The sequence below is a fragment of the Homo sapiens genome, chromosome X, assembly GCF_000001405.40.
Source record: "Homo sapiens chromosome X, GRCh38.p14 Primary Assembly".
NCBI classification, from domain to species: Eukaryota; Metazoa; Chordata; class Mammalia; order Primates; family Hominidae; genus Homo; species Homo sapiens.
Genome location: NC_000023.11, coordinates 628,283 through 642,523, shown reverse-complemented (window position 1 = coordinate 642,523; position 14,241 = coordinate 628,283). Strand labels below are relative to the sequence as shown.

The 14,241-nt window shown below is 53.1% G+C and overlaps 1 protein-coding gene across 2 annotated transcripts in view, besides 4 other annotated features; it reads right to left on the bottom strand.

Moving 5' to 3' along the window:
- SHOX (SHOX homeobox) overlaps positions 1-14,241 on the bottom strand; it is a 35,068-nt gene that overhangs the window by 16,888 nt on the left and 3,939 nt on the right. Inside the window, exons 2-5 of one of the 2 annotated variants that reach the window (NM_006883.2) lie at positions 11,350-12,058; positions 7,698-7,906; positions 1,646-1,703; positions 1,437-1,525 (exon numbers count right to left, since the gene is read on the bottom strand). In NM_006883.2, the coding sequence (NP_006874.1) occupies positions 1,437-1,525; positions 1,646-1,703; positions 7,698-7,906; positions 11,350-11,626 (633 nt within the window). In that variant the 5' untranslated portion in view covers positions 11,627-12,058. Of the gene's footprint in view, positions 1-1,436; positions 1,526-1,645; positions 1,704-7,697; positions 7,907-11,349; positions 12,059-14,241 lie in introns of those variants that run through there. The other variant, NM_000451.4, reaches the window with a different exon arrangement.
- Positions 6,249-9,248: a meiotic recombination region, noted in NCBI's record as "crossovers mapped in sperm cells of males of northern European ancestry". NCBI's record gives the evidence for it as "EXISTENCE:DNA detection assay evidence [ECO:0005519][PMID:12089524]".
- Positions 6,249-9,471: a biological region, named in NCBI's record as "meiotic recombination hotspot SHOX".
- Positions 6,390-9,471: a meiotic recombination region, noted in NCBI's record as "meiotic double-strand break mapped by DNA meiotic recombinase 1 chromatin immunoprecipitation followed by single-stranded DNA enrichment and sequencing in the germ cells of some male individuals with the PRDM9 A/A, PRDM9 A/B and PRDM9 A/C genotypes". NCBI's record gives the evidence for it as "EXISTENCE:chromatin immunoprecipitation-seq evidence [ECO:0000229][PMID:25395542]".
- Positions 8,154-8,170: a nucleotide motif, noted in NCBI's record as "nucleotide motif; similarity to the predicted 16-mer PRDM9 C-type binding motif, CCNCNNTNNNCNTNNC".

The window sequence follows — 14,241 nt, the reverse complement described above, 5'->3', positions numbered from 1 at the left end:
CAGGGAGAGCTGGAGAGCTAGCGGCGACCAGCGCTCGGGGTCCATTTCTGAGTTGTTTACTTATGATTTATACGTTTATACCTTCCGCGCTCCCCACCGCCACCCCCCAAGTCCCTGCACCCTCAGCCAAACACGCGCCCAAATACAATCCCCAGCCTGTCCCCTTGGAATAAAACGGTGAAGAAGGGAGGCCACGCGTCCGCCCTGCCAGAGCCCCCCCCCCAAGCCCGTTCCGCCCGCGCATGCACTCCCGACCCCCAAATTAGGGACCGAAGGGGCAAGGGGCACCGCAGCCGGGCGCTGCGCTGCGCGTTCAGGCAGGGCGCACGTGGGCGCTGCGCTCTCTCCTCCTGTGACCCTTCACCTCCTTCCACGCAGCTCCCCGCTTCCCCCCATCCCATCCCCACCACTAAGCCAGGGCAGGGCGGGGGCGCCCTTGGGAAGCTTGGGCTCCGCGACCGAACCCCGACTCCCTGGAAGCCCCAAATCCACGCTGGGCACCCAAGCGCTGCTCACTCCAAAGTAAGTGGGGAGCTGAGTAGGGTGTCTCCAGCTCAGAGGTGCAGAGCCCAAGCCAGGGGCCAGGGGCCAGGCAGACGCCCCAGGCCCTCGGGCACTCGGGGGTGGTGATGAAAAGGGAATGGGTGTCTGTCCCATCTCTGGTATCCAGGCACAGGCATCTGCGCCCTTCTTAACCAGGCAGCAAGCCAGGTGGGGGTGCCTGACTGTGTGGACTTTTCACCCCTCTGGTTTTTGTCAGATTTCTGTTTGGGCTTGTGTGTGTTCACCTTCCCAAAAGTGGATTTTTACAGCCTGATTTTTTTTTTTTTTTTTTTGAGATGGAGTCTTGGAGTCTCACTCTGTCACCCAGAGTGGAGTGCAGTGGCGCGATATTGGCTCACGGCAACCTCCACCTCCCAGGTTCAAGTGATTCTCCCTCCCAAGTACCTGGGATCACAGGTGTGCACCACCACGCCCGGCTAAGCTTTGTGTTTTCAGTAGAGACGGGGTTTCAGCATGTTGGTCAGGCTGGTCTCGAATTCCTGACCTCAGGTGATCCACCTGCCTCGGCCTCCCAAAGTGCTGGGATGACAGGCGTGAGCCACCACACCCATTTTGTATTTTTAATAGACAGGGTTTCGTTAAGTTGGCCAGGCTGGTCTTGAACTCCTGATCTCAGGTGATGCACCCTCCTCAGCCTCCCAAAGTGCTGGGATGACAGGTGTGAGCCACCCCGCCTGGCCCAGCCTGATTTCATAGGTGCCAAGGTGCCTGTAAATGCCTCCTCGGAAAAGAGGCTTTTTTTCTAAGGGCCAGCTGAGAAGTCTGCAGGGGCAGGGAGGGACTAGGAGTGTCAGGATGCGGCAGCAAATAGGGGAAAGGGGAAGGGAGCAGCAGGTCCCTAGGGATCTTCAGAGGAAGAAAAAGTGAGCTACCTGTTGGAAAGGCATCCGTAAGGCTCCCATGTTGACGTAGGGTGCCACTCGGCAGGCGTCTAGGTGGTTGGCTGTGCCCAAGATGACGCCTGTGTCCAAAGGGAGCAGGTGTCAGTGTGGTGGTCCTGGGTGTAGCCAGCACCTCGTCGACCCCATCCCTCCTGGAGCAGGATCCCCCAGCTTCAGGTCCCCCCAGTCCCGACACCCACCTTTATGCATCTGATTCTCTTGTTTGCGGCACTTGGCTCTCCGGTTCTGGAACCAAACCTTGGGGAGAAGCAGAGAGAGATGTGAAGAGCCCTGTGAACCCAGCCCAGCCTCCCCAGGGAGCATCCTTCCCATGAGGCTGAACCAAGCACTTTGCACCTCTGGGAGCTGGGAGGTGACTGATGGTGGGCGCCCAGACACTTACCGCCCCTCTGTCTCCAGCCCTGCATCACTGACTACCTAGTACTGGAAATTGGGGTTTTTTTGGATTTTTTGTTTTGTTTTGTTGTGGTGGTGGTGGTTCTGAAATCAAGTCTCGCTCTGTCGCCCAGGCTGGAGTGCAGTGGCACTATCTCGGCTCACTGCAAGCTCCACCTCCCAGGTTCAAGCCATTCTCCTGCCTCAGCCTCCCGAGTAGCTGGGACTACAGGTGCCCACCACCATGCCCGGCTAATTTTGTATTTTAGTAGAGACGCGGTTTCACCATGTTGGCCAGGCTGGTCTCTTGTTTTTTGTTTTTGCTTTCTTTTGTTTTTGAGACGGAGTCTTGCTCTCTGGTCCAGGCTGGACTGCAGTGGCACTATCTCGCCTCCCTGCAACCTCCACCTCCCAGATTCAAGCAATTCTCCAGCCTCAGCTTCCCGAGTAGCTGGGATTACAGGCGCACACCACCACACCTAGCTAACGTTTGTATTTTTAGTAGAGATGGGGTTTCACCATGTTGGCCAGGCTGGTCTCGAACTCCTGACCTCAAGCGATCCACCCTCCTGGGCCTCCCAAAGTGCTGGGATGACAGGCGTGAGCCACTGCACCTGGCCTAGAACTGGAAATTGGGTTTTCTTTTTTGATTTTTGTTTTGTTTTTGTTTTATTTTGTTTTTGAGACAGAGTCTTGCTCTCTCATCCAGGCTGGAGTGCAGTGGTGTGATCTCACCTCACTGCAACGTCCACCTCCCAGGTTCAAGCGATTCTCCTGCCTCAGCCTCCCGAGTAGCTGGAATTACAGGTGCTCACCACCATGCCTGGCTAATTTTCGTATTTTAGTAGAGACGGGGTTTCACCATGTTGGCCAGGCTGGTCTCAAACTCCTGACCTCAAGCGATCCACCCTCCTGGGCCTCCCAAAGTGCTGGGATTAGAGGTGTGAGCCACCGCACCTGACCTAGAAGTAGAAATTGTTAAATCATCCGTGCCCTGCCTAAGTGAGACCTATGCGTTACCGCTGATGAACTTAAGGTGAAAAAGTGAGTTCCGAGCCAGTGGAAGTGGACTGTCGAACTTTCCAGCGTTCTGTGTGGGCGCCCCGCCCCCCAACTCCTGTAGACCCTGTAGGAGAACCGAAGTTTCCACCTTCAGACTTTAGCCACAAACGGAGAGGGTGAGCTGATGGCTAAAGAGTTCCAAATCCAGCCCCTTCTCCAATCTAGCTCTTGACACACCAAGCCCAGAAAATGTCTTTGCCCTTCTCGGCCTCCTCGGAAGTGTCTTTGCCCTTCTCGGCCTCCTCGGAAGCCCTGGGGAGCTGAAGGCGTCCCATTCATATTACCAAGGGTCCCCATACATGAAAGGGTCCCATTCATGACCAAGGGTCATGAGGACGCCCAAGGATAGCAGGCTTTGTGGTGGGGGCATTCTGCCCCTCTAAGGACTTCTGAGTCTTGGGGTAAACTATCAAGAAGTTGAGTGCAATAGCGCAGGGGACCCTCAGGAGGCTGGAGAAATTCACACAGGCCTCATGTGAAGATTTGCATGCAAATTCCACCCCCTCTCACCTCCTACGAGCCTCCTCTGCTCTCCCAGTATTGACAATCCCCTCCTCCACAGACAGACCAGCTGGAGAGTGCAGGCAGTTTAGCCTATGCCTGGTAATCTGGACACCACCCCCTCCTCTCCCCCACCACCACCTCCCTGACAGTCTTAGTCGCTTAATTCCTCCTAACAGGTTTTCTGTGGCAGAAAACCTGCACCTTGACCCACAAGGCAGTCACCACCCAAGAGAAATGATTCGTCCAGAGAACAGGCGTCCTCCGCCAAGGCGGTGAGTGAACCAGTCACTCCGGCTGTTGTGGGCAAAACACGTGCTGGGTCCCTCGGCCCACAGCCACCCTTACACACTGTGCATGGCCCAGGGCCGGTGCCCCTATGAAGGGAACCTCAGAAAACCCTCAGAGTTTGGGAGCAGCCAGGAGTCTACACAGCGCAACGTGAACTTGCTCTTGAACCCAACACGGAAGCTTCCAGCCCAGCTTTCGGAACTGGCTTTTCATTTCCAAAGTGGGTCCTACCGGGCTGCAGTGCGCCTGGAGAACCTGATCCTGTTTCCCAGCAAAGTCATCCTCCCTCACACCCCCGCCAAAAAGGCCCCTGCCTGGTGCTGACATCGAAATTCACCAATAATTTCCAAAGCTGGCGCCTTCAGACCTCCACCTCCACTGACCATCCAGGTGACCTGCCACTGTGCCTCTCCATGCCCACCTGGACTCTCCGCCTGTCTCCTCCAGGGCCCAGAAAGCAAGCCAGCCACCCAAAAGCCTCTGGAAGGGCATTTTTCAAAAAAGAAAATCCTCCTGAAACGTGGAAAGCCTCATTCACTCTCCCTTCAACACGGCGAGAGGAAAAAAAAAAATGATGAAGAATACAAGTGATGAATTAGCCGCTGCGTGAAGCGCTAATAAATCAGTCTTGGAGTGATTCACGATCCATTCCAATTAGGCCCGAATATGGTAAGTGAAGTGTGTGACACTGCTTAAGACAGTTATTTCTTCATTAAAGAGCACTCCCCGCTTTCTTTCCCAAATGCCGTAATGCGATTTCCTTTTGATTTCCATTACAGACAGTGAATAATGACATTTAATTTAGCTCTGCGCCATAAACCCAAAGATATTTGTTGTAATTAAATTACCGCCTGCCCCTCACCGTGGTCTCATAACTTTCGATTAGAAGCCTGACAGCTGGGTGATACGACTTTGCAGGGCCACGCTAAAAATAAAAGGTTAATCAGCAACAGCTTCTATCGGATGCTCAATTTATTTACAGCAAATTTCCACAGTAAATTGAAACTCTATCCGGTCACAGCACGGGACGGGCTGTACTGAGACGCATGTGACCCAAGAATTCACAGAGAGATGGGATTCAAATATGGTTTCTTTTTCTGTCCCTGCTCGTCCCCGTCCCCTCAACGCGGGACGTGGGTGTTGGAACTAATTGATTTTTATGACCCCTCAAAGCGCACTCGCCTTTACTATAGGATCCTTTCCCCCCGCGGCGATGGAGAATTATGTCTTTTATTGCATTCCCATGTTTGTTGTTATTATTATTTACCGTCGTTAAATTTTCATGCGACCCCTGCAATCGATAACCCCCAGCTTGTCCCCGATTTGTCTTTATTTTAGGGCGTTCTCGGGGTCCGCACACACCCCACAACCAATTTTCCGCAGCTGAACTAACGTGCTCTCGTCGGTAATAGACTACGGAAAGAAATAGTGTGGAATTAAATTACAAGTAATTTATTTTTATAGAAACAGTACATCAAGGGCTGGGATATATTGCAGATCCCAGGCACACAGACACCAGGAGATGACACATAAACTCGATGTCCCCTTTAGCGAAACTTTAATCTTTTCATTAATTTATACGGGGCAGCCCAATCCATCTTCTGCCAGAGGGGTGGACAGCGAGGAAACCCCTGTCTGATGCAGCTTCCTTCCCTCACTGAGGCCACAGACGCCCTAAGGAGGGACACAGTCCTTCCTCCAAGTCACCAAAGCCTCTCTCCCTCCTGGGCTGTATCGCTTTGGGGACCACAGCCCTCGGTAAAGATGCCTGGGGAGGGTTGATTTAATCCTAACGATCTTAGGGAAGCCTTTTAAAATGCAGCCACATGGGAAGACGGAAGAGAATCAGGAGCCAAAATATATATATATATATATATATATTTTTAAATGAAAGAGCTCGTAAAACCCTCTCCATCAAACGCATCTGTATCCTCATCTCCTAAGCAACATCGATGGAAAAGTTGTGTTTGAATGTGTTGACTCAATCACCCATCCCACAGGAACCGAAGGGAATCAGGGGCCAAAAATATATATATATTTTTATATGTATATATATGTTAATATATATATTTTTATATGTATATATATGTTTATATATATATTTTATGTATATATATGTTTATATATATATTTTATGTATATATATGTTTATATATGTATATTTTATATGTATATATGTTTATATATATTTCTTTATATGTATATATATGTTTATATATGTATATTTTATATGTATATATGTTTATATATATTTCTTTATATGTATATATGTTTATATATATTTTTATATGTATATATATGTTTATATATATATTTTATGTATATATATGTTTATATATGTATATTTTATATGTATATATGTTTATATATATTTCTTTATATGTATATATGTTTATATATATTTTTATATGTATATATATGTTTTTATATATATTTATATATATACAATATGTTTGTATATATTTATATATGTTTATATATTTATATATGTTTATATGTTTATATATATTTATACATATTTTATATATGTTAATATATTTATATATTATATATGTTTATATATTTATGTTTATATATTATATATGTTTATAGATTTATATATTATATATGTGTTTATATATTTATATATGTATATAGATTATATATATTTACATACATTTATGTATGTTTATATATTTATATATGTTTATATATAGAGACACACATATAATGAAAGATGTAACACACTTTGGATCAAATGCATCTGTATCTTCCTCTGCTCAGCAAAATCGAGAGCAAGCTGTGTTTGAATGTGTTGACCTCATAACCAGTCCTACGGGAACGGGCTTTCAGTTCGTCTCTTTGCTTTGAACGCCGTTTGCTTTGTCACGGTTCTCTCTCTGGTCGGCAATCTTAATTTCATTTATTTTTGACGGGGTCCCCAGGGTCCGGGGATCCTGACCGTCTCTCTCTCTCTCTCTCTCTCTCTCTCCCTCCCCCCACTTCTGTCCTGCCCAGAACCAGGAGAAAGGACTAGAGGAGTTGACCTTCCAGGGGAGCTGAACTGTCAGGCAGGGGCTGGAAGAAGCCATTTGGAGGCTCTCCCAGCAGCACCCCTGAAATAAACTCATACCTTTAAGTGAATGTTTAGAATGCGGAGGAAGGCTCTGCCCGCCCGTCCCTCTGCGCACACCCAAGGCCCCTCCGCCCCCCAGTGCCTGGTCTCATGGGGCAGCGTGAATTCGCGCGCTCCTCGGGGAGCCCCCGTGCCCCGCTAATAGTCTCCGCTCATCCAGATGCCCAACGTGCTCCTGCGCTCCCCACAGCCGGAGGGAGGAGGGGGTGGTTTGTAGCAGAGGACAGGGCTGGAGAGGGGAGGAGGGAGATAGAAACGGTAGGTGAAAAAACGGAGGAAAGAGAAGACCCTGTTTCTCTCCACCTAGGGACAGAGGACACCCCTCTCCTTTCATCCTAAGGAAACCTTTTCAATGCAGCCACACGGGAAGACGGAGGGGAATCAGGGGCCAAAAGACACATTTTTTTTTAAATGAAAAATCTTGTAAAACACTCTGGATCAAACGCATCTGTAGCTTCGTCTCCTAAGTATAATCCAGGGAAAGTTTTGTTTGCATGTGTTGCCCCTATAACCAATCCCAGGGGAACCGAAGGCAGTCAGGAGCCAATATATGGGTTCACCGGGTGTCTTTGCACCAAGGACGAACAAATATCTATAATATATACAATATACCCATCTGTATAACATATATATTTATTTGTTATTTGTATAATATATATGTATATATATTTGTTTGCTGTTGGTGAAAAACAAACGCAATGAACCCATCCTACAGGCCTCAGGCGTCTCCAAAAGTCCAGGAACCCCAGCCCGTCCCTCACCCAACCTCCCCGCGCTCCGGGAAGGGGACGGCGGCGGCCCGGGCGCAGGTGGCTGTACGCGTGCTGTGCGCTCCCGAGGACCAGGCGATGGCTCCGGGCCCCCCGCCCCCGCCCCCGGGTTCCTACCTGCACGCGCGCCTCGGAGAGCCCCAGGCGCTGGCTGAGCTCCTCGCGCATGAAGGCGTCGGGGTAATGGGTCTCGTCGAAGAGTCGCTCGAGCTCGTTCAGCTGCTCCAGCGTGAAGTTGGTGCGGCTGCGCCTCTGTTTCAGCTTGGTCTGCCCGTCCTCGTCCTCCGACTTCACGTCCTCGCGCTTCTCTTTGCATTCATAAATCCCTGCGTGGGGAGCGGAGGGCACAGGGCTGAGGCCGGGGAGGTTTTGCGCAACGTGGCGAACCCCTTCGTGCATCCCGCGGTGGAAAGGGGGCCCTCGAAAACCAATGCGCTTTGACGCAAAAACTGCGTGGGGTCCATAAGGCAAAAGCCGAGGAGGATACTCGCTGCTTTCCCAAAAACCTGGGCTTTGCACGAGCGTTGTTTTCTTGGCCTCATCTCAGAATCGTTTCCTCAATTATCCACTTCACCTCTGTTGACATAACCTAACCTTTTTTTCTTATTTTTTTTTTTAAGGAGAGTGGGGTGTCAAATCCTATTTTTAAGGGAAAGAATTTGAGGAAGAGCTGCCAACTGTGGGATCCCCGGCGGGACGCCCGGGAAGGACACGGGGAGGACCCGGGGCGGGTTGCAGATTCTAGGCCTACGGAGAGACGCTATCCCCACCGCTGCAGCGCAGGAGGGCTGGGGGTCCCTCCGCGATCTGGCGGAGCTAGGAGCCCCTACCCGAAGCCTGTTTCTCAGCAGAACAGCAGAACCGCGTCTGAGTACCTGAATGCGCCACCGCGCCTGGGGGCTGAACCGCGTGCGCAGAAATCTCTCCTTCCCACTTTTTCACACGCGGTCGGGCACCTACCCCACCAGAGTGTGCCAAAAATGGCACTTTCTCATCTCCAGTAGTTGGTGACCTGTCTGTATTTGCTGGGGGAGTCAGAAGGGCAGAAGACTCAGCCCTCAAGCGTTTCCAGGTGAAAAACCTTTTCTTCCTCATTTTAGACATTCAGCCTCTCTGACCAAGCTCAGGGGTTTAAGTAAAAGGTGTCTCCCTCGCTCCCCTTCAACCCAGGGCTGGTGGAAGTGGCATCTCCAACGCCCCTCTGTTCCTATCTCGGGCCTGCTGAGCACAGATGAGAAGCACGCGATGCCCTAATGAGATGTCCCTTGCTGTCAAGGGTAAGGGGCTGACATTTGGAAGTTTAGTCTGGAAACAGTCTCAAAGGGGCACAGGCAAGGCCGCTGCAACCAAGAAGCTTGCAAAGCTGACAAATCCAGGGTGTCTACAGGGAACGGGGTAAATACTAGCACCCTGTTCTGTCTTTCTTCCTTCCACGATCCACACCAGGGCCCTCCCACCCCACCCCGAGCTACATTCAGCGCTGGACGCTTACTCCAACGTGGATTTCACATTCTGTTTCACCTCCTATCAGACACGTGCCTGCAAGAACACTCCATTCCTTCCCCCCAAGTGAATCGTTTCCTGGAGACGACCCCAGCTCTCCCTCCTTCATTTCTCTAAGTCTGAACCCCAGGAATTGAGCCCAACTGACAAACTGGTCTTCAAAGTCCTCAAACACCCGCAGGCTTTGCAGAACCCACGGGCTCCCAGGCTCGGCGGGGACACGCTGTTCCCAAAAACTCCAGGCTTCCACGGTAACCTCAGACTCTCCCCTGCCCTCCAACCTCGATTTAACTTGGATCTGATGAATAAATAGTAGCCTGGGTGGCAGTCCTGGCCCGGGGGTCTTTCTGCACCCAGCCAAGGGGAAAATGTAACGGGGACTCTCTGTCTCCTCTCCTGTGGCCCTGGGTCTTTGGCCTGGTCTTTATTTTCCTCTCACTTTCGAAAGGTCTGGAGGACACTTTGCTCTCCCGGGTCCACGGCCAGGGGGAGAAGAGAGAGTTCAGAGGAGCAAAACGGTGTCTGCGAAGGACAACCAAAAAGCAACCCCACAGAAGCGGCCGCCGGGCGCTGCGAACCCTCTTAAATTACACGCAGGCCCTCAAGCGGCTCCCAGCCTTGCGTCCAGGAAGGCCAACTCTCTGTGTATGAATTACAGTGCCGGGTGCCCGCAGCAGTGTGTAGGGAGGAACTCCTCTCACTGTCAAAGGCAGGCTGGGCTCCTGCCTCTTAGACGGTCAGAAACCGGGGACTGCTTTGTAAACCGTAGCCACAGCTTTCTGCTTCGACAAAGTCAGGGCCTTGGGAAGCTGCCTGGTGCCTCCTACGAATACAAGGGCTATTTCCCGGGGCCACTCCACACCCCAAATGCAGGGCCCCGGAGAGCAGGTAGCCCCAGAGTCTTAGGAAGAATTACCTTTGGGGCATTCACCCTCGCACCTCAACTCTGCGAATCAGCAAAAGCCGAGGCTAGATTCTCTGCGTCTTTGTAATGAAAACATAACAGGCGTCCATAGCCGTCTCCAGCTGTGCCCCGACACAGCCAGCCCATTTTATTCTTAAGATGTATGCCGCCCAGTTGTCGTGTGTGCACAGAGATCCCCGGGGCCAGCCCCTCTCTCTGAGCCTCTTACTCCCCGATTTCCACCACGGGACGACCCACCACTGAGGTCTCAGGAGGAAGGGCCAGAGGGGAGCTCCCCCGGGCCGCGCACAACCGGCTGCGCTCTGACAACCTTGACTTAGGACGCGCCCGCGAAGCCGCCAGCTTCCCCGGGGCCCCTCGCGCCCCATCCAGATCCCGGCCACCTCCGCTCACGGGAGTGGTTTTTATGGACCCAACAGCTTTCGCCAAGATCAAGCCTCGACGTTCAAAGGAAAACAATGAAATAATAATGAAGGGTTCCTTAAAGGAAACAGAACCGAGCTGACCCGGGGCCTTCCCGTCTCCTACCACGCAGCCTCGAGTCTTCCCGTGATCTCCGGGGGCCCGGCAGGCGCTGAGCGCTGGGAAGGCGCGTGGAGACGGCTCCTCTGTGCGTCTGGGTGACCGTAAATACAAGGCAGACAGGCAGAGACAGAAACACACATCCTAAGCCGTCAGGACCCAGGCCGGGCGCGGTGCCTCACGCCTGTCATCCCAGCACTTTGGGAGGCCGAGGCGGGTGGATCACCTGAGGTCAGGAGTTCGAGACCAGCCTGGCCAACATGGTGAATCCCCGTCTTTACTAAAAGCACAAAAATTAGCCAGGCGTGGTGGTGCATGCCTGTAATCCCAGCTACTGGGGAGGCTGAGGCAGGAGAATCGCTTGAACCCAGGAGGCAGAGGTTGCAGTGAGCCGAGATCGCACCACTGCACTCCAGCCTGGGGGACAGAGCGAGACTCTGTCTCAAACAAACAAACAAACAAAAAAAGGAAAGGAAAGAAAAAGAAAATGAAAAAGACATCTCAGGCCCTACGGCTTCAGGCACAGCCACCCGGATCCACCCCAGCCCGGGACCTTCCCGTGTCGGTGCCCACGCGCGCGGCCCCCGCTGCGACCCTCCCTGGGTCCCCCCGCACCCCGCTACCCACCACCCGCGTCTCCGGTCGGGTCCACTCCTGCCTTCCTTCCTTTCTTAGGCAAAGCCTGACGGCCCGGGCCTTACCCTGGCGAGACGGGAGCTGCAAATGTGCACAGCGAGGGGCGCGCGGGGCCGACTCCGTGGCGAGGAGGCGCCGAACCCCAGGAGGGCCCCCCTGGAGCCGGAGCGCAAAGGAACTTACCTTCTGCCACTCTCGCGGTGCCGAATTCTTTCAGTTTCTCCTTGTCATTGTCTACGTGGTCCTTGAACAAATGCACCGGGCAGTGGCCGCCGCCCTCCGTGATGTCCTGGAGGCTGGAATCCGACGTCCCCAGCTCCCGGGAGCGCGCCAGTCCGCTCTCCAAAACTTCCCGGTACGTAATGGAATCCTTCTTACCTCCGCCGCCTCCGCCTCCGCCGTTACCGTCCTTGCTTTTCTGGTCAAAAGACTTGGATACAAAAGCCGTGAGCTCTTCCATGGCTGGGGCCGGGGCTGGCGAGCAGCCGGGGCTGGTGGATGCGCGCGTCTCCCCGCGCGGAGAGGACGGCCCGTGCGCGCGGGTGGATCACCAGCGCTGTTATTTACGCCTTTCCATTGGAAATCTCACTATTTATACGCGGCGACCTCGCCCAGCCCCCCATGCGCTGCCTGTCTGGTGCAATTACTGGTCTCCGGGCTCCGCGGCGGACGCACGCAGAGACGCTGTGTCTCCCCCACCCCCCAGGCCGGCAATTGGCTTTCTTCTCATTTCATCACTGTTTGGCGTCCGTACACCTTGGTGCGAAGGGGGAAAGATCCCATTTTTGGAAGGGAGAGCGCGCGCGCAGGAGGGGGGCGCAGGCGCCCGAGCCCCCCACACAGGTTACCCGCGTTCTCTCCGTGGCCGGAGGAAAAGCAAACTCCAGTTTTCCTGCAGAGAGAGACAGAGAGACAAGGAGTTCACGGCTGGAGAGAGGAGGGTCCCAGTCGTCCGGCCGCCCTCGCTCCCGGGAGGAGCGCAGAGCCCGGCGCCTGGATCTTTCCAGGAAGCGCCCGGGTCGCGCCGGGGTTGAGATGGCGAGGGGGGGATCCGGGCGCCCCGGGGACGCACGATCTTGGGAGAAGATGAGCTCCAAGTTGGTGGCGGCGCGCCCTTGGATGGAGAGTTGGTGAGATGGAACGCGGCTGGAGAATCCCCGAAAGTGAGAAGAAGGGGCCGGGTGTCCCCAAACCGGGACGCGGGCGCTTGGGAGGCGGCGGCGGCGGAGGCCGAGGATCCCCGGGGCCGCCTCCCGGGTCTCCAGCGCCCGCAGAAAGAAGCCCAGGTCCCCGGGAGATCCGGTTCGTAAAGATCTATATTCTTTCCGCCCGCGCCAGATCCCGGCGGACCCCGGCGCGAGGCCTCCTCCCTTAGCGCCGCGCTGTCACCCTGGCGTCTGGGGTATTTACCGGGTGAAAAAAATACTTGTGTTTTTGGTTTTCATGGTGGGATGCTCCTGCTCGCTCCCTCCCGCCTCTCGCTATTGAATGTGCTTCAGGGGAAGCCGGTGCTCGCCATCGCGACCTGAAATTCGTTTTCCAAGTCCTGGAAACCAAACGCGTCACGGTTCCTGCCAAGGACCTTCTGCAAATAAAGTGGGGCACCAGGAGGCCCGGAGTCCCCTTCCTCCCGTAACCCCACGGCGCATCTTCCTCCCCGGCGGGGCCTGGGGACCCAGGATGACAGCTGAGCTGTGAACTTGTGTGAGATGGCACAGCAGTGGGGGGACATGAGTGACGGTGGGTTGGGGTGTGTGTAAGACACAGAAAGAGAGAGACAGACAGGGAGAGGCAGAGAGAGAAACGGAGAGACGGGGAGATGGAGAGAGAGAGACAGGGAGAGAGAGAGATGGAGAGAGAGAGAGAAAGAGAGAGACAAGGAAAGACAGAGAGAAAGGGAGAGACAGAGGGATGGAGACAGAGAAAGAGACAGAGGGGGAAAGACGGAGAGAGATGGAGAGAGAGAAAGAGAGACACAGACAGGGAGAGACAGAGACATGGAGACAGAGAGAAAGAGAGTCAAGGAGAGACAGAGAGAGATGGAGACAGAGAAAGAGACAGACAGGGAGAGACGGAGAGAGATGGAGAGAGAGAAACACAGGGAGAGACAGAGAGAGATGGAGAGAGAGAAAGAGAGACACAGACAGGGAGAGAGAGGGAGAGATAGAGAGAGAGAAAGAGAGACACAGACAGATGGAGAGAGAGAAACAGACAGGGAGAGACAGAGAGAGATGGAGAGAGAGAAACACAGGGAGAGACAGAGAGAGATGGAGAGAGAGAAAGAGAGACACAGACAGGGAGAGAGAGGGAGAGACAGAGAGAGAGAAAGGGAGAGACAGAGAGATGGAGAGAGAGAAACACACAGGGAGAGACAGAGAGAGATGGAGAGAGAGAAAGAGAGACACAGACAGGGAGAGAGAGGGAGAGACAGAGAGAGAGAAAGGGAGAGACAGAGAGATGGAGATAGAGAAACACACAGGGAGAGACAGAGAGAGATGGAGAGAGAGAAACACAGGGAGAGACAGAGAGAGATGGAGAGAGAGAAAGAGAGACACAGACAGGGAGAGAGAGGGAGAGATAGAGAGAGAAAAAGAGAGAGACAGACAGATAGAGAGAGAGAAACAGACAGGGAGAGACAGAGAGAGATGGAGAGAGAGAAAGAGAGACACAGACAGATGGAGAGAGAGAAACAGACAGGGAGAGACAGAGAGAGATGGAGAGAGAGAAACACAGGGAGAGACAGAGAGAGATGGAGAGAGAGAAAGAGAGACACAGACAGGGAGAGAGAGGGAGAGATAGAGAGAGAAAGAGAGAGACAGACAGATGGAGAGAGAGAAACAGACAGGGAGAGACAGAGAGAGATGGAGAGAGAGAAACACAGGGAGAGACAGAGAGAGATGGAGAGAGAGAAAGAGAGACACAGACAGGGAGAGAGAGGGAGAGACAGAGAGAGAGAAAGGGAGAGACAGACAGATGGAGAGAGAGAAACAGACAGGGAGAGACAGAGAGAGATGGAGAGAGAGAAAGAGAGAGACAAGGAGAGACAGAGAAAGAGATGGAGACAGAGAAAGAGAG